General features: G+C 45.1%; 1 annotated feature.

The window, feature by feature from the left end:
* Positions 20,012 to 20,880: an enhancer, noted in NCBI's record as "NANOG-H3K4me1 hESC enhancer chr13:111253624-111254492 (GRCh37/hg19 assembly coordinates)". NCBI's record gives its function as "activates a minimal SCP1, AML or CMV promoter by ChIP-STARR-seq in primed H9 embryonic stem cells {active_cell/tissue: H9 hESC(primed)}" and the evidence as "EXISTENCE:reporter gene assay evidence [ECO:0000049][PMID:30033119]".

Here is a 27,422-nt window from a genome sequence, read left to right on the forward strand (position 1 = left end):
TCTTCCCAGGTCTCTGATCACTGAAATGTCATCTTTTGTTATAGTCCCACAGGTCTCCAAGGTGCTGTTCATTTCTCTCTCTCTCTCCTTTTTTTTTTTTTCCAGTAGGTTTTCTCCTTTTTTCAGATTGGGTAATTTCTATTTTTCTGTCTTTAAGTTCACTGATCCTTTCCTCTACCGCCAGCCCCTCTGTTCTGCTATTGAGTTCATAAGTTACATTTTGAATTTTGGTTATTGGATTTTTCAGTTCTAAAATTTCTGTCTGCTCCTTCTTTATAACTTCTGTTTCTTTGCTGAGCTGAATGTTTCATTTATTTCAAAAAATCCTTTTCACGGAGTCCAACCTCTGTCCTTCCAGAGCAGGCACCTGTTCATGGTTTTCTTCATTCACGTGCTGTGTTTCCTGGTCTGGGTGTGATACGTGGCTGTCTGGCGAATGCTGTATGCTTGCACATCATGTTACGAGAGTCTAGATGTTAATGAGGCCTTGTCTTGTGGCTTCCCCTGATGCTGCTCCCTCAGGGGGAAGGGAGGGCACACAGGTGCCTCCCAAGGCAGGGGTTACAAATCCAGGGTCCTCACCTGTGCTCTACTGACACCCAAGAAATGGCTCCCTGTTACTGCCCAGTGGGTGGCGGCCCCCAACCTGGTCTCCACTGACACTGCAGTGGGGTGGCTCATGACTGCGTAGCAGAGGTGACAGTCCTGGCTCCCCACTCAGCCTTCTCTGACACCACCCCAGCAGGTCAGGGGTGGGGGTGGGGGCCTGGGTGCCTCACCGCAGCCTGGTGAGGGTGGAGGTCTCAAAGTCTAGGCTCACCTCTTGGCCTTCTCTGGCGCAGGTGGAGGTGCGACCACGCAATTTTCATGGTGTTTGGCTGCGACAGAACAATTGTCTGCGTTTTCTGTCCCGCTAGTGCCCGTTTCCTGGGGCTTTGGTTTCAGAGCTGGCTTTCGGGGGCTCTTATTCACTGTGTCCCTTGGCCTCTCTGGATTGCTGCTTCTTCAACACCAAGTCTGGGATTCAAGGAGCAAAGAGAAAACCCAGAGCGGTCGCCAGCACACCCTGGACCTGCCCCGAGGTGCTGGCAACTGCCTTCTCCTCTCCAGCTTCCAGGGCCTCCTCAGGCTGGTTTTCTGTGGAATGCCTTGCAGAGGGGGCTTGCAGGCAGACTCGGTGGAACCACTTCATCTTCGGCCACAGTGACTTTTTGAGGTAGATACTATTATCTCTATGTGTGCTGGGGCCACTGTGACAAAGTCCCATAGGCTGCGTGACTTAAAACCAAGAAATCTATTGTCCTGCAGGTCTGAAATCAAGGCATCAGCAGGGCCATGCTCCCTCCGAAGCCTGCAGGGGAATGCCACGCCTCTTTCTAGTCCTGGTGGCTCCTGGTCATGCTCCCAGCCTGTAGCACATTCCTCCGCTGTCCACCTTCACATCTGCCTTCTCGCACGTTCTCCACGCTTGCTTCTCCCCCATCTGCACCCTCTCACGGCCTCCTCCTGTAAGGACATGTGGGGTCAGGGGCTCACCCACCCCAGCATGACCTCAGCTTAACCAATCACATCCGCAACGAGCCAATCTCCAAACAAGGCCACATTCGGAGGTCCTAGAGGCTTGGATATCACACATCATGCTAAAAAGTGGCAGAGCTGGGATCTGAGGGCAGACCTTCCCTGCTCCTGCTACAGTTAGTTTATCCCACTTAACACCTCTGGGACTCATCTTCCTCAACCAAATAATTTTTTAAAATATTAATTAATTAAGCGAAGGGAGGTCTTGGAGGCCACACCAACAGATGAGTATTACAGGCCGATTTTTCTTTCTTTTGGTTAACTCCGTTTTTGTATGCCCATCAGAGCCGATTTACCATAGCGATTTAATTAGGTCAAGGATCAACATTTCACTAAAGGAGTTTGCAAACCCAAAGCCACAGCACACTCGTGGACCAGGTGGGAAGATTCATCATGATGAGAGCTTCTCCATCCACCTCTCATCGCACCATTGTCTTATGGCCTGTGCCTCCTAAATTTGTAAAGAAAAACGTGTACACGCACACACACACACACACACACACACAGAGGCATCTGGCACCTTTCTCAAGTATGAGAACAATGCAATTCACACATCTTCCAGGCTCTCAAATTATGTTTGCAGTTGCAGTGAAAGGTTTCAAAAGTGTTAGCACACTCTCTTCTGTAGAGACGACAAAAGTACGAATTTGTGAGCTAGCTACAGAATCTGTGGCTGGAACAAAGTGTTGATTCTCCTTGCAAAAATAAAATGCCTCTGATATGGTTTGGATGTCCCTGCAAATCTCATGTTGAGATGTAATCCCCAGTGTGGGAGGTGGGGCCTGGTGGGAGGTGTTTGGGTTATAGAGCAGAGCGCTCATCGCTTGGTGCTGTCCTCATAGCGTGCTCTCAATATCTGGCTGTTGCAAACTGTGTGAGTGCCACCCCACCCCGCCGCCCCCGACCCCTGCTCTCTCTCTCTCTCTCTCTCTCTCCCTCCTGCTTTTTCACATGTGACATGCCGGCTTTCTGTTCACCTTCCACCATGATTGGAAGCTTCCTGAGCCCTCCCTAGAAGCAGATGTGGGCTCTATGCTCTTTGTACAGCTTGCAGAACCATAAGCCAATTAAACCTCTTTTCTTATAAATTATCTAGCCTCAGGTATTTCTTTATAGCAATGTAAGAACAGCCTAATACAGCTTTCATAAGGGGCAAATTCATCATCATGGTACCACTTGGAAAATGTCTGAGAAGCCCCTAGACGTGTTTAGGCAGGCAGTTAGAAAGGTAAGAAATAAGTCGTGGAGTGAAAGGGAAGACACTGAGTTTCTGTAGGTGTATGGGTCTGTGTAGGGCTCTCTATTCAATTCAGTTTGTATACCTGTCTTCTCAGCAACGACACACTTTTTTAATGGCTATAGCTTGATAACAGCTCTCAGCAGCAAGTAGGGCAAGTCCACTCATACTGTTTTCTTAATTTTAGAACATTTTCATCACTCCTAAAAGAAACCATGAGCAGCGACTGCCTCCCAGCCCCAGGCAACAACTAGTCTGCTTTGTTTCTATACATTTGCCTATTCTGGATACTTCACAAAAATTGAACCAATATATGACCTTTGTGTCAGACTTCTTCCGTGTAGCATAATGCTTCCAGGGTTCATCCATGTTGTAGCATATGAAAGTACTGCTTTGTTGTTGTTGTTTTTGAGACAGGATTTTGCTCTGTTGCACAGGCTTGAGTGCAGTGGCACAATCTCGGCTCACTGCAACCTCTACCTCCAGGGCTCAAGTGATCCTCCCACCTCAGCCTCCCTAGTAGCTGGGACCACAGGCATGCGCTACCATGCTCAGCTAGTTTTTGTATTCTTTGCAAAGATGGGGTTTCACCATGTTGCACAGGCTGGTCTCAAACTCCTGAGCTCAAGGGATCCATCTGCCTCAGCCTCCCAAAGTGCTGGGATTATAGGTGTGAGCCACCGCACCTGGCCCAAAAGTACTTTTTCATGGCTGAAAAATATTCCGCTGTAGGGAGATACTATGTATTATTTATCCATTCACCAGCTGATAAACATTGTGATTGTTTCAACTTTTTAGCTGTTACGAATAATGATGCTATAAACATTCATACCGAGGCTTTTGTACTTGTATATATGTCTTCAGTTCTCTTGGGTGTATACCTTGGAGTAGAATTATTGAATTGTATAGTGGTTCTTTATGCTTTTATGTAAATTTTTGGCCATACTTGTCAATTTCCACAAAACATCTGTTGAGATTTCAATTGAAATCACATTAACTGTATAGATTGACTTGAAGAGAGCAGACATGCCCATGGTTTCCATTTTAGTTCCGTACAGAAACCATAGCACAACCCTCCATTTATTTGAGTCTTAAAAAATGTCTTTTCCAGTGATTTCATTTTACTGCACAAAAGTCTCACATATCTTATGGTTTTTTGGGGTTTTTTTGGTAACTTTTGGTTTATGTTTTGGTGGGGCATGGTGGCTCAGGCCTGTAATCCCAGCACTTTCGGAAGCCAAGGAGGACAATGACTTGAGGCCAGGAGTTCAAGACCAGCCTGGCCAACCTGGTGAAACCCCGTCCCTACTAAAAATACAAAAATTAGCCAGGAGTGGTTGCGTGTGCCTGTAGTCCCAGTTATTCTGGAGCCTGAGGCATGAGAAACGCTTGAACCCAGGAGGCAGAGGTTGCAGTGAGCGGAGATGGCGCCACTGCCCTCCAGCCTGGGCAACAGAGCAAGACTGTCTGAAAACAAACAAGCAAAACCTGTTGAGATTTTGATTGGAATTTCATTGACTTGATAGATTGTCTTGAGAAGAGTAGACATGTCCATGGTTTCCAGTTTAGTTCCATACTAAACTGGAAGTTCCATACAAAAATTAGCTGGAAGGTGTGGTGGGTGGCTATAATCCCAGCTACTCGGGAGGCCAAGGCATGAGAATCACTTGAAACCGGAAGGCAGAGGTTGCAGTGAGCCGACATCGCGCGCGCCACTACACTCCAGCTTGGGAGACAGAACAAGACACTGTCTCAAAAACAAAAACAACAAAGACATTAAATGAATGAAATGAAAATGAAAAGACAACATATCAAAAATTGTGGGACACAGTTAATGCAATATTGAGGGAGAAATTTCTAGTACCAAATGCATATGTTAAAAAAACTGAAATCAGCCAGGCATGATGGCTCACACCTGTAATCCCAGCACATTGGGAGGCCGAGGCGGGCGGATCACTTGAGGTCAGGAGTTCGAGACCAGCCTGGCCAACATGGTGAAACCCCATCTCTACTAAAAATACAAAAATTAGCCAGATGTGGTGGTGCACACCTGTAATCCCAGCACATTGGGATGCCAAGGTGGGCGGATCACTTGAGGTCAGGAGTTCAAGACCAGCCTGGCCAACATGGTGAAACCCTGTCTACTAAAAATACAAAAATTAGCCACGCGTGGTGGTGCACGCCTGTAATCCCAGCTACTTGGGAGGCTGAGGCAGGAGAATCACCTGAACCCGGGAGACGGAGGTTGCAGTGAGCCGAGATTATGCCACTGCACTCCAGACTGGGCGACAGAGCAAGACTCCATCTCAAAAACAACAACAACAACAACAAACAAACAAAACCCTGAAAGCAATACTCTGTATTCCTACTTCAAGAGCCTAGAAAGAGAAGAGTAAGGTAAACCCAAGGCAGGCAGAAGGAAGAAAATAATAAAAAACAGAAATCAGTGAGATAGAAAAAAGAAAAACAATAGAGGAAGTCAATGAAGCAAAGAACTGGTTGTTTGAAAAGATCAATAAAATTGACAAACTTCTGTCAAGACTGACAAGGGAAAAGGGGAGAAGACACAAATTACCAATGCCAGGAATGAAACACTACAGACCCTGCAAACATCAAAAGAACAGTAAAGCAATACTACAAACAGCCAGGTACACACATAAATTCAAAAACTTGGATGAAATGCATCAATTCCTCAGAAAATATAAACTATCTCAACTCACCCAATATGAAATAGATCATTTGAATAGCCCTATGACTATTAAGGAAATTGAATTAATAATTTTTTTAAAATCCCCAAAAAGAAATCTCTGGGTCTAGATGGCTTCATTGTTTAATTCTACCAAATATATAAAAAATATTTGATACCTATTCTACACAATCTGTTCTGAAAATAGAAGAAAAGGGAATACTTCACAATTATTTTTATGAAGCTAGTATTACCCTGATATAAAATCACACAAAAGTAGTACCAAAAATATATATATACACTGCAAGGCCAGGTGCGGTGGCTCTCACGCCTGTAATCCCAGCACTTTGGGAGGCCGAGGTGGGCAAATCCCTTGAGGTCAGGAGTTCTAGACCAGCCTGTTCATCATGATGAAACCACGCTTCTACTAAAAATACAAAAATTAGCCAGCAGTGGTGGTGGGCGCCTGTAGTCCCAGCTACTCAGGAGGCTGAGGCATGAGAATCACTTGAACCTGGGAGGCAGAGGTTGCGGTGAGCCGAGATCACGCCACTGCATTCCACCCTGGGTGACAGAGTGAGACTCTGTCTAAACAAAACAAAACAAAACAAAAAAACTACAAGCCGGCCGGGCGCGGTGGCTCACGCCTGTAATCCCAGCACTTTGGGAGGCCGAGGCGGGTGGATCATGAGGTCAGGAGATCGAGACCATCCTGGCTAACAAGGTGAAACCCCGTCTCTACTAAAAATACAAAAAATTAGCCGGGCGCGGTGGCGGGCGCCTGTAGTCCCAGCTACTCGGGAGGCTGAGGCAGGAGAATGGCGTGAACCCGGGAAGCGGAGCTTGCAGTGAGCCGAGATTGCGCCACTGCAGTCCGCAGTCCGGCCTGGGCGACAGAGCGAGACTCCGTCTCAAAAAAAAAAAAAAAAAAAAAAAAAAAACTACAAGCCAATGTGCTAATGAATATAGATGCAAAGTCATTAACAAAATATTAGCAAATAGAATTCAGTACTATATAAAAAAGATTATATACCATAGTTGAGGTTTATTTCAAGGATGAAAGACTCCGTCAATGCTGGAAAATTAATTAATGTAATCTACATATTAACGGGCTAAAGAAGAAAAATCACATGATGATATCAATTGATGCAGAAAGCATTTAACAAAATTCAATGCCTATACACGATTTTTGAAAAATAGGAATAGAGAAAAATATGATTCTCAGAAAAATAGGAACAGAGAAAAACTTCCTCAACTTGATAAAGAACATCTACAAAACCTTTATTTATTTAAAAACCCCCACTGCTTACATGATACTTAGTGGTGAAAGGCTGAGTACCTTTCTCCTAAGACTGGCAACAAAGCAAATATGTCTGCTATGTCTAGCAACAGAGTGCTAGAAGTTCTAGATAACATTATAAGGCAAGAAAAGTAAATAAGAAGCATAGAGATTGAAATGGAAGAAATAAAACTGTTTCTGTTTTCAGAGGACATAATTATCTATATAAACAATCCCAAGGGATATAAAACTATCTTTTAGAACTGATAAGTGAGTTCCACAAGGTGACAGAATACAAGAGAAAGGTGCAAACATCAGTTTTGTATCTGTTAACCAGAAATTGGACATCCATAGAGAACTGAACACACAGACACAAAAATTTGAAGTACAGTGGTATTTATAATTGCTCAGAAAAAAATGAAGTACTTAGGTGTAAATATAACAAAGCAGTTATAGAACTTCTAGATTGAAAATTACACAATCCTCATGAAAGAAATCAAAGAAGACCTAAATAAATGGAGAGCTATATTATGTTCATGGATTGGAAAACTCAGCATCATAAAGATGTCAGATCTCTTCAAACTGATTCACAGGTTTACCACAATTCCTCTCAAGACCCCAGCAAAATGTTTCTATAGGTATAGATAAGATTATTCTAAAATGTATATGAAAAGGCAAAGGAATGAGAGAACTAATACAATTTGGAAAAAGAATGAAGTGAAAGAAATATTCTACCTGATTCCACAACTTATTATATAGTTACAGTAATCACAACAGCGTGGTGTTGGCAGTGGAATAGACTCACAGCTCCATGGGACAGAATAAAGAACCCAGAAATGGATCCACTCAGATATGCCCAGTGGATTGTTGACAAAGATTCAAAAGCAACTTAATGGAGGAAAGAGCCTTTTCATCAAATAGTGCTAGAGAAATTGGTCATCCGTAGCGAAAAAAATATACCTACACCTTATACAAAAAAAGGAACTCAAAGTGAATCACAGCCCTAAATGTAAAATGTAAAACTATAAAATTTTTTTTTTTGAGACAGGGTCTCACTCTACTGCCCAGGCTACAGTGCAATGGCGTGATCATAGCTCACTGCAGCCTCGAACTCCTGGGCTCAAGCAATCCTCCCAAGTAGCTAGAACTACAGGTGTACGGCACCATGCCTGGCTAATTTTAAAAATTTTTGTAGAGACAGGATGTCACTATTTTGCCCACACTGGTCTAGAACTCCTGGCCTCAAGTGATTCTCCCACCTCAGCCTCCCAAAGTTCTAAGATTACAGACATGAACTACTGTGCCTGGCCTATAAAACTTTTAGAAAAACAAATAGGAGAAAATCTTCAGGATCTATGGCTAGGCAAAGAGTTCACAGACTTTACATCAAAAGCATAGTCAATAAAAAAATTTTTAAATTGAACTTTATCAGAACTAAAACTTTTTGCTCTGTGAAACACCCTATTGAATGAAAATATAAGCTGTAGAGTGGGAGAAATATTTACCAACCACATAGCTGGCAACTGACTAGTGCTTAGAATATATAAAGAACTCTCAAAATTTAACAGTTAAAAAAAACCACACAATCCAATTAGATGATGGGCAAAAAAAAAAAATGAGCATATATTTCACCAAAGAGGATATATGGATGACAAAGACATGAAAGAATATTCAACATCACTAGCCATTAGGGAGACACAAATTAAAACCACAATGTGATATAACTACATATCTACCAACCAGAATCGCTAAAATTAAAAGTGACAATATCAAATGCTGATGAGGATTTTGAGTAACTGGATCTCTCATACATTTCTGGCAGGAATGTAAAACGGTGCAGCTACTTTAAAAAACAGTTTGGCAGTTTCTTAAAAACAAAACCAAAAACTAAATATGCAACCACCACATGACCAGCCATTGCACTCCTGGGCGTGATCCTAGAGAACTGAAGACATGTTCACATGATAACTACACATACATGCTTGCATCAGCTTTAATCATACTAGCCCAATGCTAGAGATAACACAGATGCTCTTCAATGACTGAATGGTTAAACAAATTCTGGCCTATCCATACCATGGAATACTTACTGCTCAGCAGAGAAGGGAATCAAACTGTTGACACAGGCAGCAACCCGGATGAACCTCCAGAGAATCACACTGAGCTGGAGGGAAAATAAAGCAATTCCAAAGGTTACATACTGTAGATTCCATTTCTATAACATTCTGGAAATGACAAAATTATAGCAATGGAAAACAGTTCCATGGTTGCCAGGGGTTAAGGAGAGGGTTGGGGTGAAAGGGAAGTGAGTATGGCTACAGAAGGTCAATATCAAGGATCCTTGTGCTGACAGAAAGTTTGTAAATTTGGCCTGTAACAATGTCACCATTCTGGTTGCCATCTTGTACTGTAGTTTTGCAAGATGCTATCATTGGAGGAAACTAGGTGAAGAGCATTTGAGCTGTTTCTGTATTATTTCTTTTAACTGCATGTGATTCTATAATTATCTCCAGTAGTTTTAGAAAAAAGTCGTGGTGAGAGGCAAAGAGAATGATGTATGTAAATTCCTCAGCACAATGCCTGGCAGGTAGGAGGGACTTTAGTGCTATCACTGAAAAGTCCTGGGCAAGCCAGGACAGCTGGTCACCCACAGGGCAGGTCCAGAATTCGCTCACTCAGTGTCGCCAAGGACTCAGGTTTTCCACCTTCCCGCCCTGCCCTCCTTGGAATGCTGGCTCATGTTCAAGTCGGATGCCCTCAGGGTTACGGGGCAGCTTTTCCAGTTCCAGGCTTCATGTGCACACTGGTCCCCATGTCTCTCACCTCTCTCTAAGAGCAAAGAAACCACTCCTGGAGGCTTCCCTCCCTCACAGCTTGGTGGCTATGGTTGCTACAGTGATGATAAAAAGCCACTCGTTCATCACAATCAGCAAGGGAAATGGGACCGCAGTGCTGAGGTTGGGCCCGTCTGGATTTACCTCCAGACCCGGAGGAGAACCAGCCTTCCTGCGTCAAGTGGCAGAATTCTATCTATGCCAGCCAGTATGAAGGTTTTGGGTGGCCCCCCAGAGCTGTTCTTCCTCCTTTCTCAGGACTCCAATGGCCTAACATGCGTGGCTCTGGGCACCTGAGTTGTGTTTCCTGGACCCGCCAGATCTAAGCGGGTCAACACCAGAAACTGCGCGTGTTCATGTGGTTATCCTCCAGCATCTTGCAGGTGCCCCGTGCATGTAAAGCATAGTCACATATTTGCTTAAATGAATTCAGTAGCCTTCAACCTATTGATTCTGCCTCTCAAATGTCTAATTAAATCTATACCCACAACCATATCACGATGGTCCACATTAGAAACTTCATCAGGCGCCAAGCTGGCTACCTAGAGTGTCTCTTAATTTCCGCAGATGCAGAGCTGCAAATGTTTCTTGCTCTTCTGAGCACTCCTACATTTGATTTATTCATTTGGCATTTTGAAGTGAAGGCAAGACAGTGTTATTGTTAACTCCGTGCTTTTCTTTAAAATGTTTCTTTGCTGGCTGGGGGTGGCGGTTCATGCCTGTCATCACAGCACTTTGGAAGGCTGAGGAAGGATTACCTGAGGCCAGGCGTTCAAGACCAGTCTGGGCAACATACTGAGACCCTATCTCTACAAATCAAATAAAATAGGTCAGGCGCCATGGCTCACGCCTGTAATCCCAGCACCTTGGGAGGCCGAGGCAGGCGGATCACCCGAGGTCGGGAGTTCAAGACCAGCCTGACCAACATGGAGAAACCCTGTCTCTACTAAAAATACAAAAATTAGCCAGGTGTGGTGGTGCATGCCTGTAATCCCAGCTACTTGGGAGGCTGAGGCAGGAGAATCGCTTGAACCTGGGAGGCAGAAGCTGTGGTGAGCCGAGATCACGCCATTGCACCCCAGCCTGGGCAACAAGAGCAATACTCTGTCTCAAAAAAAATAAATAAATAAAATGAAAAAAGACAAGTAAAATAAAATAGCCAGGCGTGGTGGGGTGCCATCTGTGGTCCCAGCTACTTGGGAGGCTCAATGGGAGGATCACCTGCGCCCTGGAGTTCAAGGCTGTGGTGAGCCAAGATCACACCACTGCACTCCAGCCTGGGTGACATAATAAGATCCCATTTCAAAAAAACAGATAAAATAAAAATATTTATTTGTGATCCATCTAAACCTATATGAATTTCTGTACTCTTATTTATGTTTTCTTTTGTTTTTATTTTTATGTACTTATTTATTTATTTTTAAAAACAGGGGGCCTCATTCTGTCGCCCAGGCTGGAGTGCAGTCACTGCAGCTTCAGACTCCTGGGTCTAAGCAATCCTACAATTTCAACCTCCGGAGTAGCTGGGACTAAGGCGCACGCCACCACACCCAGCTAACTTTTTAAGATTTTTTTTGTAGTGATGGGGTCTCGCTATATTGCCCAGGCTGGTCTCTAAATCCTGGGCTCAAGCAATCCTCCTGCCTTGGCTTCCCAAAGTGCTGGGATCATAGGCATGAGCCATCATGCTCGGTTTATTCATGTTTCTAATTGTCCTCCCATCTTCTAGAGGGAAGTTAATATAACTTTGATATTTGAATTTTTACTTCGTGATTCATGTGGCATACTGAGTATGAAAATCATCTTCCTCCCTAAAGGCCATCGTTTTTTCTCCCCATGAACATTTATGCCAAATACTGTTTTGAATTTAATATTTCCACATCCCCTAAGCAGAACCCAGTCTGACTTCTCTCTCTTTTTTTTTTTCCCTGCCTCTGAGTCTACTATGAGAAATGATTCTGACTCATAAAATTGATGTATCTATAGAACAAATGGCAGTTGTGGCCCCTCCTGAAGATGACTCTTTGGGTTTCCACACTTTCTGGATTGGACTTGAATTCCTTGGTGTCATTTTCAGGGCCTCCTGCGGCTTTGCCCCACATATGCCTCAGACCCATGCAAATCAAGTCCTGGATTTTCTGGCTATTTTTACTCTAACACAGAATATAAATGTTAGACATAAGCCTTTAACAACGCCCAGCGATATTACTTCCGTCAAGAAGGAAAGATTGAACGAAACAATGGAGAATCAACAATCCCAGGCTGGGCGCGGTGGCTCACGCCTGTAATCCCACCACTCTGGGAGGCCGAAGCGGGCAGATCACCTGAGGTCAGGAGTTCGAGACCAGCCTGGCCAACAAGGCGAAACCCCACCTCTATTAAAAAATACAAAAACTAGCTGGGTGTGGTGGCATGTGCCTGTAATCCCAGCTACTCAGGAGGCTGAGACAGGAGAATTGCTTGAACCCGGGAGGTGGAGGTTGCAGTGAGCCAAGATCGCATCCCTGCACTCCAGCCTGGGTGACAGAGCAAAACTCCTTCTCAAAAAAAAAAAAAAAAAAAAAAAATTCCCAAAGGTCTATGATCCTTTCATTAATAAGATAGAATTACATAATTCTTTATTGGTTTAAGTTTTATCTTCATCAGAAGTTCTACTTGAAGGATCAGACCTAAATACAAACCATCTGATAATGACAGCTCTGGGCTAAACTGCAGGGCCCCTGGAACAGAATGTCATCTGAAGGAACTCAAGTTGGGGACATTTCCCAACACAGTCATCCTAGAGACAGTAGAGGGCACTACAGGCAAATATTAAACTAAAAAGTAAATGTCCCGTCAGGAAACAACTTGGAGTATTAGGTGTCGTACGTAATACAACAATGTAAAATTTCTCATGCTCAAAGCTAAATGAGTGTTTTCTGTTTAAGTTCTTAATGTTCTAGAGCTCTACTATTCAATATGGCAGACACCAACCACACATGCGTATTTAAATTTAAATTAATGAAAATGTAATAAAATTTAAAATTCAGCTCTTCAGTTGTACCAGCCACATTTCTTGTGCTCAACAGATATGTGGCTAGTGGCTACTATATAGGACAGTGCGGGCACAGAACATTTCCTTCATCACAGAAAGTTCTAGTAGACAGCACTGCTGAAGTCTCAGTTTCCATTATATATTACAATAGAAGGGGATTAGAATATGCCGCCTCAAGATATGCCACTTTGGCATAAAGATTATTTTGAACTGGAAGGCAATTGAGAAAAAGTAGACACAGGAAAGGCTCTCTGCCCTCCCCTCTCTGCCTAAAAGCCGGGCATAAATTTCTGTCATGGGGGTGTCCCCATCTCTCATACCGGGAAGGGAAGAACAACATCATCACTGACAATGGAGATGGCACCAGGATGCGTCTGCGTAAACTAGCTTTACTAAATAACCCTATAACCCTTCCCTTCTGTTCATTTTCCTCATATGCTCCTTTCCACAGTTTACCACCTCTAGAAGCCCAAACTCTTTTTCCTTGGTCTTGTCCTGTCTCCACAATTTATAGCCCTTTGTTAAAAGGGCATAGAACCCCAGCCCCACGGTTTTTGTTGTTTGGTTTTTTGTGGGTTGTTTTTTGTTTGTTTTTCATTTTTTGTTTTTTTTTTTTTTGAGACAGAGTCTTGCTCTGTCACCAGGCTGGAGTGCAGTGGCATAATCTTGGCTCATTGCAACCTCTGCCTCCTGAGTTCAAGCAATTCTCCTGCCTCAGTCTCCTGAGTAGCTGGGATTACAGGTGCATGCCACATGCCTGGCTGATTTTTGTATTTTTAGAAGATGGGGTTTCACCATGTTGGCCAGGCTGGTCTCGAACTCCTGACCTCAGGTGATCTGTCCACCTCAGACTCCCAAAGCGCTGGGATTACAGGCATGAGCCACCGCGGCTGGCCCCCAGCCCCATGTTTAACTGCTCCTGTGGGTCTTCATTTCTTTCCTGTGAAGTCCTCCATGCACACAAAAAATTAAAACTTATTAAAATATTAACATGAAGGCCAGGTGCAGTGGCTCACGCCCGTAATTCCAACAGTTTGGGAGGCCAAGGCCAGCGGATCACTTGAGGTCAGGAGTTTGAGACCAGCCTGGCCAACATGGTGAAACCCCATCTCTACTAAAAATACAAAAATTAGGTAGGCGTGGTGGCGCATGCCTGTAATCCCAGCTACTTGGGAGGCCGAGGCAGGAGAATCGCTTGAACCCAGGAGGCAGAGGTTGTAGTGGGCCAAGATCATGCCACTGTACTGCAGCCTGGGTGACAGAACAAGACTCTGTCTCAAAAAAAAAAATTAACATAAAATATAATTTATATGCCTTTCCTCCTATTAATCTGTCTTTTGGCCGGGCGCAGTGGCTCACGCCTGTAATCCCAGCCCTTTGGGTGGCTGAGGCGGGCAGATCACCTAATGTCAGGAGTTTGAGACCAGCCTGGCCAACATGGTGAAATCCCCGTCTCTACTGAAAATACAAAAATCAGCCAGGTGTGGTGGCATATGCCTGTAATCCCAGCTACTCAGGAGGCTGAGGCAGGAGAATCACTTGAACCCGGGAGGCAGAGGTTGCAGTGAGCTGAGATTGCGTGACTGCACTACAGCCTGGGCAATAGAGCAAGACTCCACCTCAAAAAAAGAGAAAAAAAGAATCTATCTTTTATCAGTGTGATTCACAGGCCCCAGCTACAGTACCTAAGAAGACAGAGGAAACCATTTTTTTTCCTGCCCTACACAATTCACTAAGAGTAACTGAGAAATAGGAACTATTCTAGCATGGAGGCTGCACTCCTCAGCTTATGGAGACTGTCATGTATACCAATGACATCTGTGGAAATGAAGTCACCTGGCTTCTAATCAGGTGAAGTCACCTAGCCACCCTTCTCTAATTTTCACTTTGGAGAAAAACTTAACAAAAGGTACAGGGGAGATATTTGTCTCTGTATCATTTACAACTTGCTGTATACAAATTACAGACTACTGAGAATCCTCGAGAACATTACTATGCATCTTAAGAGAGCTTTTTAATTATTTATTATTTTTTAGGAACAGGGTTTAGCTCGGTTGCCCAGGCTGGAGTGCAGTGGCATATTCCTAGCTCACTGTAAATATAAACTCCTGGATTCAAGTGATCCTGTTATCTATCTCAACCTCCTGAGGAACCAGGACTACAGGCACGTTGCCACCATGCCAGGCTAATTTTTACATTTTTTGTACAGATGCAGTCTTGCTATGTTGTCCAGGCTGGTCTTGAACTCCTGACCTCAAACAATCCTACTGCCTCAGGCTCTCAAAGTTCTGGCCCTGGCTCTCATCTTAGAAAGCTTTAAAACAATATTTTAAAAGCTACAAACTGGCTGGGTATGGTGGCTCATGACTATAATCCCAGCACTTTGGGAGGCTGAGGTGGATGGATTGCTTCAGTCCAGGAGTTTGAGACCAGCCTGAGCAACATAGTGAAACCTAGTCTCTACTAAAAAAGAACAAAAATTAGCCGGGCATGGTGGTTGAGGCTTGTGGTGCTAGGATTATAGGCATGAGCCACTCGGGAGGCTGAGGTGGGAAGATCACTTGGGCCTGGGAGGTGGAGGTTGCAGTGAGCCATGTTCACACCACTGCAGTCCAGACAGGTGATAGAGCAAGACCCCATCTCAAACAAACAAACAAAAAAGCTACAAACTAAATAAAGGTTAAATATAAGCAAATATATTACTATACCAAACACACGTCTCTAGAGCTTAGAGAAACATTGAAGTTTATCTAATCCAAATATTTCATTTTTTGATGATAAAAAAACTCTGTGAACCAAAAAGTTTAAGTAACTCTCTTAAATTCTTAAAGCTTAGGAATTGGAACTTTAAATCCAAACTCAACCTGGTGCTTTTTCCTTTAGGTTATGATTCTATTAGAGGTTTTTATTGAAAATGTGGGCCTTCTAGATTCTTTGAGATTGGAGCTCTGAAGAAAAGCCTGTCACTTCATGTATTATGATTGATATGTAATACAGAAGTGCACACACACAGCTGTGTTTCGCTCCCTCTCAGTCTGACTTTCTGAACTGCATAGGGATCAGAAAGGTGAATTCCATGCTCTCAGATCCTCTGGTTCAATGTGGCTTGTTTTGGTAAATGCAGGGAGAATGGATGGGAAAAAATCGATGGAGAAATACATGTCTCCATCCAAATGTGAGTTTGATGTAGGAGAAAATGAACAAGAATACCCCGACAGCACCACATGCACGTGTGAGGAACATGGGAAGGGCCGGGGTCGTCTGAGATGCTGATAACGAGCTTGCTCCCCGGCCCCCCACGCTGACCTGCGGAGCTGCAGTGGGAGTGAAGTTGCAGAGGCAGCTCTGTGCTCCTCCAGGGGTCCTGCCTGTATCTCCCCCACCGCCCCTGAGGGTGCTGCCGCTGCTGCAACCGGCAGCTGAGAGAGAAGGCTGAGGAGAGAAGCGTCCCAGCCATGGTCAAGCAGATCAATAACTGCATCAACATTTTCGCTGATCATTTGTGCTTTTGAAAAATATGCTGAATCATGGCAATCACTTAGAAAATAGATGACTTAATTTTTATGGGTAACAACATGTACCTTTGTGCTTCTGCCTTTCAAAAAAGCCCCCAGGGGAACTAAGTCTACCCAAGCCTGACCGGTTCTTCCTTAAGTCTGAAAGATAAAGTTTGCCTGATCCTGGAGATAAATTTTATTTTTTCCTCTGGCTGTATCCCATAACCATATTCCTCTTCATCATAAAGCTGAAAATAATGGGTAAAGTGTGACAACGAAGACCTCATCTCCCCGTTTCCACTAGGCAGGAAGAACAGCACCTCCTACGAACATAATTAAATTAATAAGAATGTAATTATTTGTTAGTGTTATGTTAATTCCAGTCCCTTCATGCTTACTCAACGTTTGGTTTCTTTTCTTCAGTAACTCCCCTTAATTCTGAAAAATTACAGTCACACTCACAGAGACAGAGAGTGAAATGGTAGGTACCAGGGACTGGGGGAGGGAAGAACCAGGGAGTCAGTGTTTTATGGGTAGAGTTTCTGATTAAAATAATGAAAAGTTCTAGAGGTGGACGGTGGTGATAGCTGCACAATGGTGTGAATGCAGTTCATGCCACTGAACTGTACACTTAAAACTGATTAAAATGCTAACATTTATGTTATGTATATTTTACCACAATAATAAAATAATTTTTAAAAATCAGTCTGGGTGCAGTGGCTCATGCCTGTAATCCTAGCACTTTGGGAGGCCAAGGTGGGAGGGTTGCTTAAGGCCAAGAGTTGAAGACCAATCCGGCCAACATAGCAAGACCTCATCTCTAAAATGAATAAAAAAACAAAAAACAAAACTGCACTAAATAGACCGAAAGGCTATTTTGTACAAGAAAATGTGCTTTAAAAAAATATGTAAGTTTCACCAAAAGAAATTGAGCAGGTCCGGGTGCCTTCCCCGCCAGGCCCTGAGAACCAGGTGGGGCGGATCTGGTTTGCGGCTCTCCACCCGGGAAGCTGACACCTGCCAGGGCGCATGCTCCACGGTTCTGCTGAATCAAGCTTCAGCCAAGCATTTCTCCGGGTTTGTCCTTGTCTAAAACTATGAGAAACCTGGAGATCATGGGCCCGCAAATAAATACATAAGAGGCGTCCCATGTGACAGGAGAGGTGGCCTGGCAGAAACGTGGAAAGGGAAAACGCAGAGAAATTCTGTCGAGAACCAAAACGCCTAGACCAAGCTTGTCCAACCCGAGGCCCACGGGCCACATGTGGCCCAGGAGGGCTTTGAATGAGGCCCAACACAAATTCGTAAACTTTCTTAAAACATTGTGAGTTTTTTAGTTCATCAGCTGTCGTTTGTGTTAGTGTATTTTATGTGTGGCCCAAGACAATTCTTCTTCCAATGGGGCCCCCAGAAGCCAAAAGATCAGACACCCCTGGCTTAGACAAAAGGAGCAAAGCAAGGCCAGAAAGAGGTCGCTCAGTGTCTCCCTTCCTGAGCAGGCTCCTGGCATGCCATGTCTCAGCATAAATTCGGCCACAGAGATCAATTTTGGGAACTTGGACTGAATCATTTCTGTGGAGGACATCTTCCCACAGGCTGTGGGAAAGTATAGAGACAAACTCCTGAGCACCGCAGGAAATGTGAGCAGGGTCCCCAGAGGGGCCAGGGTTTTAGGGCCAGAGTGCTCAAGAACTTTGAGAATGTGGCCTCAGGCCGGGTACACAGAGCACAACTCGTGGGAGACTGGGCTGGGATTAGGAGAAGGTTCTGGAGACAGAGCTGGACTTCCATCATGAATCCCCGGACCTTACCACCAGCTACCCTCTCCCTGGGATGAGAAGATGCTAGTTAGTTTTGCTTTTAATTTTGTGTTTTGCCTGGTCACACATGTCCTCTCTTATTTGTGATCGAATGGCTAATCTTTAGTCTATGTGACCTCCACTTGGATGTAGCAAAATCAAGTTTCAATCACAAAGAAAATGTAAGTTCTGCCACTTGTTTCTGAATATTGTTCCTGAAGAATGAGGTGCCAGGCCTTTCACATGGAGACTGAAGCTGAGGGGGCCAACCAGCACCAGACCTACCCCGCTGCCCGGAGCAGGCAGAAGCCACACACAGGACTGGCCACGGGAGGAACAATGAGACCCTGAGCCACAACATTCAGAGCAAGAAAGGCCACGCATACCAAACCCCGCCTCCTAACTTTACACACGAGAAAGCAGAGGGAGGCTGAGAGGGGAGGATTGCTTGAGCCCAGGAGTTTGAGGTTATAGTGAGCTTTGATTCCCCCTCTGGACTCCAGCCAGGGTGACAGAGTGAGACCCTGTCTCAAAAAAGAAAGAAAAAATAAGAAAAACAATCACATATCCCTTTTGTCAGCAGAGCGTAAACTGAAACCCACAGCCCCCAATTCCTAGTTCAACCTTCTTTCCTCTACCCCAGGCCTCACCTGTTGGATTTTTATTTGGGGTGCTATCTGCCTGTCTACTTTTTCTTTTCTTTTTTTTTTTTTTTTTTTGAGACAGAGTCTCACTCGGTTGACCAGGTTGGAGTGCAGTGGCACGATCTCAGCTCACTGCAGCCTCCACCTCCCAGGCTCAAGCGATTTTCCCGCCTCAGCCTCCTGAGTAGCTGGGACTACAGGCGCCCGCCACCGTGCCTGGCTAATTTTTGTATTTTTAGTAGATATGGGATTTAAGCATGTTGGCCAGGCTGGTTTCAAACTCCTGACCTCAGGTGATCCACCCACCTCGGCCTCCCAAAGTGCTGGGCTTACAGGCGTGAGCCACTGTACCCAGCCTTCTGCCTTTTTATCCCTTTTTTTACCCTTGGTGGCTGTGTTGGAGAGGCTTCTCCAGAAAAACAGAACCAATAGGATGTGTGTGCACGCAAGTGTGTGTGCGTGCGCTTGCGTGTGTGTGTGTGTATGTGTTGAGAAAGATTTAAGGAATTGGCTCATGCAATCATGCAGGCTGGCAAGTGCACAGTCTGCAGGGCAGGGGCCAGGCTGGGGACAAGGGAGCCTGAGGCAGTCTGTAGTCAGAGCTCCCTGCTTCTAAGGAAAGGTGGTTCTTTTCTCTTAAGACCTTCAGCGGATTGGATGAGGCCCACCCCATCGTGAAGGATAATCTGCTTTACTCAAAGTCGACTGATTTAAATGTTAATCTCATCTTTAAAATGCCTTCACAGCAATTTTCATATGTGTCTGACCAAATATCTGGTTGCTGTGTCCCAGACAAATTGACACTAGGATTAACCATTACAGCAGGAAGCCTTCCTTCCCTCCCGCCCAGCCAGCCCCAGAGCTTTTACCCTCCCGTGTCCTTTGCCCCAGCAATAGCTGGCTTTGCAAAGGGGAAGAGCGCTCCCCTCCCAGGAGTCAGTGCACTTTGAGAGAAGAGCAAGATTTTAAAATATAGCTTCGGAAACAGTCGCTAAGAAACTGTAGCGAGTGCAAGTATTTCCCTGTTGCTTTGTTGACTTGTTGCTTTGTTGCTTTGGGTTTGTTTTGTTTTTACTTCTAAATCAAACTTGCAGCCGCGAGTGGTGGCTCATGCCTGAAATCCTAGCATTTTGGGAGGCTGAGGCAGGACGATCCTTTGAGGCCAAGAGTTTGAGACCAGCCTGGGCAACATAGCAAGCCCCTTGTCTCTAAGATAGATAGATAAGTAAATAAATAAATAAATAATAAATAAAACAGTTAAAAATTAACCAGGCATGGTGACACACCTGCAGTTCCAGCTACTCAGGAGGCTGAGGCAGGAGGATCGCCTGAGCACAGGAGTTCAAGGCTGCAGTGAGCTAGGATCATGCCACTGTACTCCAGCCTAGGAGACAGAGTGAGATCCTGTCTCTCAAAATTTTTTTTAAAAAACCAAACTTCCATAAATAGCTGCTGTAAAAACTAGCCTCGAGCCGTAATGGGTGTCAGCATGCCCAGGATGCCTGCCTTCCCAGGTGTGTTTTTAGAGTTGAACTAGGTTCGAAATTCCTAGGTTCTCCATGTCACCAGGCACGGAGATTTGTTGCATCTACTCTCCAAATCATCCTCACCAAAGGTTCAGCACCTTCGACAAGAACTCACCTCTCTGGAAGCAGCCTCTTGACTAGACAGACTCACTGGAAGGAAGAAATCCTGAACTGTTTGTCAGATGTTAGCATTCTAGAGATACAACCATTCCACAGTTTTAGAGAAATGTTTTCAAAGACCCATGTCCCTGTCTTTGCAGCTCTGGTTTCTTAAATGGTAAGAAATGGCTGGGTGTGGTGGCTTATGCCTGTAATCCCAGCACTTTGGGAGGCCAAGGTGGGTGGATCACGAGGTCAGGAGTTCAAGACCATCCTGGCCAACATGGTGAAACCCCGTCTCTACTAAAATACAAAATTAGCCAGGCATGGTGGCGCACGCCTGTAGTCCCAGCTACTTGGGAGGCTGAGGCAGGGAAATCACTTGAACCCGGAAGGCAGAGGTTGCAGTGAGCCGAGATCGTGCCACTGCACTCCAGCCTGGTGACAGAGCAAGACTCTTGTCTCAAAAATTAAAAAAAAAAAAAAAAGGTAAGAAAGACATAAAATGTGTTAAACCCAGAGTCCCATTCCCTTGTCTGAAGTGTCAGCCTGTTGGCATTCCAGTGGTTATTTTTGCCCTGCAAGTATAAAATTAAATAGAAAATTCTGAAGCTCTCTATTTATTTCTCTCTTTTCTCTTCTGCCTGCTTTGAATCTGCTATTATTAGGCTACCCATGTTGAGATAAAACTTACTTCTCAAGGTTACTTGTAGAATTTGTTCTGGCTAAAATGTAAACCTTAGAAACTCACTTGAAACTGTGAAAGGAAAATATCTTGGGACCCAAAATGACTAAAGCTAAAGGGAAAAGTCAAGCTGGGAACTGCTTAGAACAAGGCTGCCTCCCATTCTATTCAAAGTCACCCCTCTGCTGACTGAGATAAATGCTTATCTGATTGCTTCCTTGGGAGAGGCTAACCAGGAACTCAAAAGAATGCAACCATTTGGCCGGGGCGCAGTGGCTCACGCCTGTAATCCCAGCACTCTGGGAGGCCAAGACAGGCGGATCACCTGACGCCAGGAGTTTGAGACCAGCCTGACCAACATGGAGAAACCCCATCTCTACTAAAAAAATACAAAATCAGCCGGGCATGGTGGCGCATGCCTGTAATCCCAGCTACTTGGGAGGCTGAGGCAGGAGAATCACTTGAACCTGGGAGGTGGAGGTTGCGGCGAGCAAAGATCACGCCATTGCACTCCAGCCTGGGCAACAAGAGCGAAACTCCATCTCATAAAAACAAATAAAGGAATGCAACCATTTGTCTCTTATCTACCTATGACCTGGAAGACCCCTCCCCACTTCGAGTTGTCTTGCCTTTCCAGTCCCAACCAATGTTCATCTTACATATGCTGATTGATGTCTCATGTCCCCTAAAATGTATAAAACCAAACTGTGCTCTGACCATCTTGGGCACCTGTCGTCAGGACCTCCTGAGGCTGACTCATGGGTGCATGTCCTCAATCTTGGCAAAATAAACTTTCTAAATTAACTAAGACCTGTCTCAAATTTTTGGGGTTCACAAAACTGAAGGAAGTGATAAGAAAAAAAAAAAAGCTTTTTAAAAACCAAATTTCCATAAAGATTACTTTACCCAAAATTTTGGTCCACAGCTCTCCTTGGATTACTGATTGGATGTCTGGGTCATTTTCAATTAAGGAAAGTTTAGGATACCGGAAAACATATCTCTAAAATTGTGGAATGGTCCAGGCGCAGTGGCTCAGGCCTGTAATCCCAGCACTTTGGGAGGCTGAGGGGGGTGGATCACCTGTGGTCAGGAGTTCAAGACCAGCCTGGCCAACATGGTGAAACCCTGTCTCTACTAAAAATACAAAAAAAAAAAAAAAATTAGCTGAGCATGGTGCTGCTCACCTGAAATAAGGAAGAAAGGAGCCAGTAAGTAGGGAAGAGAAAGATGTGATGAAAGTTATGGATGTGGGCCAGGCACCATGGCTCATGCCTGTAGTCCCAGCACTTTGGGAGACTGAGGTGGCCAGATTGCTTGAGGAGTTTGAGACCAGCCTGAGCAACATGGTGAAACCCTGTCTATGCAAAAAATTACAAAAATTAGCAGGGTGTGGTGGTTCATGCCTGTAGTCCCAGCTACTTGGGAGGCTAAGGCAAGAGGATCACTTGAACCCTGGAAGCGGAGGTTGCAGTGAGTCGAGATGGTGACACTGCACTGCAGCCTGGGCGACAGAGCAAGACTCCATCTCAAAAAAAAAAGAAAAGAAAAAGTAAAAGAAAAAGGATCTTGTATGGTAAATTATTGTCCTACGTTGGTGCAAAAGTAATTGCAGTTTTGGACCGTAAATTTTAAATCATTATAACAAGGCTCAAATACATCTTTATTAATCAAAATAGGAACCATTACAATCAACACATTTTTGCCAACGAAAAATAAATTTGTTTATTCCTGTAGCATAAAAATCCATGCTTTGGGATTTGACGAACTCTTGGAAAGCACTTTCTGCATGCTGCTGGTTGTGGAAGCGTTTTCCCTGCAAAAAGTTGTCGAGATGCTTGAAGAAATGGTAGTTGGTTGGTGAGAGGTCAGGTGAATATGGCGGATGAGGCAAAACTTCACAGCCCAATTTGTTCCACTTTTGAAGTGTTGGTTGTGTGACGTGCGGTGGGGGCGCTGCGGTGGAGAAGAATTGGGCCCTTCCTGTTGACCAATGCCGGCTGCAGGCGTTGCAGTTTTCGATGCATCTCTTCGATTTGCTGAGCATACTTCTCAGATGTAATGGTTTCACTGGGATTCGGAAAGCTGTGGTGGATCAGACTGGCACAGACCACCAGACAGTGACCAGGACCTGTTTTTCGTGCAAGTTTGGCTTTGGGAAGTGCTTTGGAGCTTCTCGGTCCAACCACTGAGCTGGTTGTTGCCAGTTGTGTAAGATCCACTTTTCATCTTACATCACAATCAGATCAAGAAATGGTTCACTGTTGTTGTGGAGAATAAGAGAAGATGACTCTTCAAAATTACAATTTTTTTGATTCTCGCTCAGCTCATGAGGCACCCACTTATTGAGCTTTTTCACCTTTTCAATTTGTGTCAAATGTTGATTGACTGTAGAATGGTTGACGTTGAGTTCTTTAGCAGCTTCTCGGGTAGTTGTAAGAGGATCGGCTTCAATGATTGCTCTCGGTTGTTGTCAACTTCCGATGGCCGGCCACTACGCTCCTCATCTTCAAGGCTTTTGTCTCCTCTTCAAAACTTCTTGACTCACCACTGCACTGTGTGTTCATTAGCAGTTCCTGGGTCAAATGCATTGTTGATGTTGCAGGTTTTCTCCGCTGCTTTACTATCCATTTTGAACTCAAATAAGAAAATTGTTTGAGGCCGGGCGTGGTGGCTCATGACTGTAATCCCAGCACCTTGGGAGGCTGAGGTGGGCGGATCACAAGGTCAGGAGATCGAGACCATCCTGGCTAACACTGTGAAAGCCCGTCTCTACTAAAAATACAAAAAACTAGCCGGGCGTGGTGGTGAGCGCCTGTAGTTCCAGCTACTCAGGAGGCTGAGGCAGGAGAATGGCATGAACTCGGGAGGCTGAGCTTGTAGTGAGCCGAGATCTCACCACTGCACTGCAGCCTGGGCAACAGAGCAAGACTCTGTCTCAAAAAAAAAAAAAAAAAAGAAAAGAAAATTGCTTGAATTTCCTTTTTGTCTAACATTATTTCCATAGTCTTAAATAAATATATAATAAAGCAGCAAGTAATAAGTCATTAGCAAAAAAAAGTGAGAAATGTGCATTAAAATGACGTATAGCATGACTGCATGTATTTAAGAATATATTATCAAACGGCAAATTTCAACAATGCAAAAACCGCAATTACTTTTGCACCAACCTAATATTTACAAAAGAGGGAAGTTTAGGACAAGTCAGAAAGTCCAAGCATTGCCCGAATGCAGTGCCTCACACCCAGAATCCCAGCACTTTGGGAGGCTGAGGCAGGAGGATTGCTTGAGCCATTTCGTAGATGGTCTGTGTAAGTTGTCATAAGGTTTGCAAATGGGAATTTAGGAAAGAAATTTTGTCTGCGATTAACTTGGTTATAATAATTATTATTTTTTTTGTGTGTGTTTCTTTTTTTTTTAAATGATTATTTTTAAATTTATTCTGTTAATTTGGTAGACTATGTTGATTGGTTTTCAAATTTTTTTTTATTATTTATTTATTTATTTATTTATTTTTATTGATCATTCTTGGGTGTTTCTCGCAGAGGGGGATTTGGCAGGGTCACAGGACAATAGTGGAGGGAAGGTCAGCCAATAAACAAGTGAACAAAGGTCTCTGGTTTTCCTAGGCAGAGGACCCTGCGGCCTTCCTCAGTGTTTGTGTCCCTGGGTACTTGAGATTAGGGAGTGGTGATGACTCTTAACGAGCATGCTGCCTTCAAGCATCTGTTTAACAAAGCACATCTTGCACGGCCCTTAATCCATTCAACCCTGAGTGGACACAGCACATGTTTCAGAGAGCACAGGGTTGGGGGTAAGGTCACAGATCAACAGGATCCCAAGGCAGAAGAATTTTTCTTAGTACAGAACAAAATGAAAAGTTTCCCATGTCTACCTCTTTCTACACAGACACGGCAACCATCCGATTTCTCAATCTTTTCCCCACCTTTCCCCGCTTTCTATTCCACAAAACCGCCATTGTCATCATGGCCCGTTCTCAATGAGCTGTTGGGTACACCTCCCAGATGGGGTGGTGGCCAGGCAGAGGGGCTCCTCACTTCCCAGTAGGGGTGGCCGGGCAGAGGCGCCCCTCACCTCCCGGACGGGGCGGCTGGCCGGGCGGGGGGCTGACCCCTCCACCTCCCTCCCGGACGGGGCGACTCGCTGGGAGGGGGGCTGACCCCCCCACCTCCCTCCCGGACGGGGCGGCTGGCCGGGCAGAGGGGCTCCTCACTTCCCAGTAGGGGCGGCCGGGCAGAGGCGCCCCTCACCTCCTGGACGAGGCGGCTGGCCGGGCCGGGAGCTGACCCCCCCACCTCCCTCCCGGACGGGGCGGCTGCCAGGCGGAGACGCTCCTCACTTCCCAGACGGGGTGGCTGCCGGGCGGAGGGGCTCCTCACTTCTCAGACGGGGCGGCTGCCGGGCGGAGGGGCTCCTCACTTCTCAGACGGGGCGGCCGGGCAGAGATGCTCCTCACATCCCAGACGGGGTGGCAGGGCAGAGGCGCTCCCCACATGTCAGATGATGGGCGGCCAGGCAGAGACGCTCCTCACTTCCTAGATGGGATGGCGGCCGGGAAGAGGTGCTCCTCACTTCCTAGATGGGATGGCGGCCGGGCAGAGACGCTCCTCACTTTCCAGACTGGGCAGCCAGGCAGAGGGGCTCCTCACATCCCAGACGATGGGCGGCCAGGCAGAGACACTCCTCACTTCCCAGACGGGGTGGCGGCTGGGCAGAGGCTGCAATCTCGGCACTTTGGGAGGCCAAGGCAGGCGGCTGGGAGGTGGAGGTTGTAGCGAGCCGAGATCACGCCACTGCACTCCAGCCTGGGCACCACTGAGCACTGAGTGAACGAGACTCCGTCTGCAATCCCGGCACCTCGAGAGGCTGAGGCTGGCGGATCACTCGCGGTTAGGAGCTGGAGACCAGCCCGGCCAACACAGTGAAACCCCATCTCCACCAAAAAAATACGAAAACCAGTCAGGCGTGGCGGCGCGCGCCTGCAATCGCAGGCACTCGGCAGGCTGAGGCAGAAGAATCAGGCAGGGAGGTTGCAGTGAGCCGAGATGGCAGCAGTACAGTCCAGCTTCGGCTCGGCATCAGAGGGAGACTGTGGAAAGAGAGGGAGAGGGAGACCGTGGGGAGAGGGGAGAGGGGAGAGGCAACTTGGTTATAATTAAAAGGAAATTGGCTAGGCACGGTGGCTCATGCCTGTAATCCCAGCACTTTGGGAGGCTGAGGTGGGCGGATCATATGAGGTCAGGAGTTCAAGTCCAGCCTGACCAACATGGTGAAACCCCGTCTCTACTAAAAATACAAAAAATAGCCAGGCATGGTGGCTCATTCCTGTAATTCCAGTTACACAGGAGGCTGAGGCAAGAGAATCGCTTGAACCTGGGAGACGAAGGTTGCAGTGAGCCAAGATCGTGCCATTGCATTCCAGCCTAGGTGACAAAGCCAGGCTCTCTTAGAAAAAAATTTAAAAAAAAATGTTTTAATGGACTTTTTAAAAAAGGAAATCATTTATAATAGTCCTGTATGTTAAAACAAAGCTTCTTTAAAGTATTGATTTGCTCTCAATAAAATTAATTGAACTTCTGCTTTTCATAATAATTCTATAATCTGTTTCTGCCTTTTCTCTGTTGAGAAGGCCTGAGATGGTAACTCAGCCTTTTTGTCAGCTCTTGTAACTTTTTTCTTCTGGTTTCAATTTTACTGTTACGGCCTAAGGCTGAAATGTTTTATCTTGAAGGTCAAAACAGAAAACATTGTTTTCCTCCGTTCTGTACTCTAGGCTTTTTTTGATATGTCTAAATTTTCAGTGTAATCAAGAAACTTCTCATGCTGTTCCTAAGAGTCATGTATTCCCGTGGTATGCTCATAACCTTGAACACACTCTTCCTGTGTCTGATTAAATTCCAGTACTTTTTCATCAAACTTGACTTCCAGGTTATCTAAGTGGGCTTCTCATAAGGAGAAGCAGTCACTGCAGATTTTTCTTTGCTTTTTTGGTAACTGGCTTAAGAGACAAGATTTTATAATTCTCATGCTGTCTTTATTAGGTTTTTGATTGCAAAATCTGAAATGTAAAAGGGTCAAGGTTTTTACATCCGTATTACCTTCTGTATTGCCTTTAAAGTCTTTTGATTATCACTTTTGTTAAGTAAGTAACTATTATTTTACAATGACCTGTGCTTCTGTTTGGATCAGATGTTTTGAGCCTTTTAACATCTTTAATAAACGTCCTCAAAATCAAAATCCTAAATTAAGTCTCTGAGGTGTCTTATTGCTGGGGCTTATTAAATCTATAAAAATTAATTGCTGCAAGGTTGTAGAACTTTTTTTTTTTTTTGAGACGGAGTCTCGCCCTGTCACCCAGCCTGGAGTGCAATGGCGAGATCCCGGCTCATTGCAACCTCCGGCTCCCGGGTTCAAGTGATTCTCCTGCCTCAGCCTCCCGAGTAGCTGGGATTACAGACACGTGCCACCACGTTCCAGCTAATTTTTTGTATTTTTAGTAGAGACGG

Source organism: Homo sapiens, chromosome 13 (assembly GCF_000001405.40).
Source record: "Homo sapiens chromosome 13, GRCh38.p14 Primary Assembly".
In the NCBI taxonomy this organism is placed as follows: domain Eukaryota; kingdom Metazoa; phylum Chordata; class Mammalia; order Primates; family Hominidae; genus Homo; species Homo sapiens.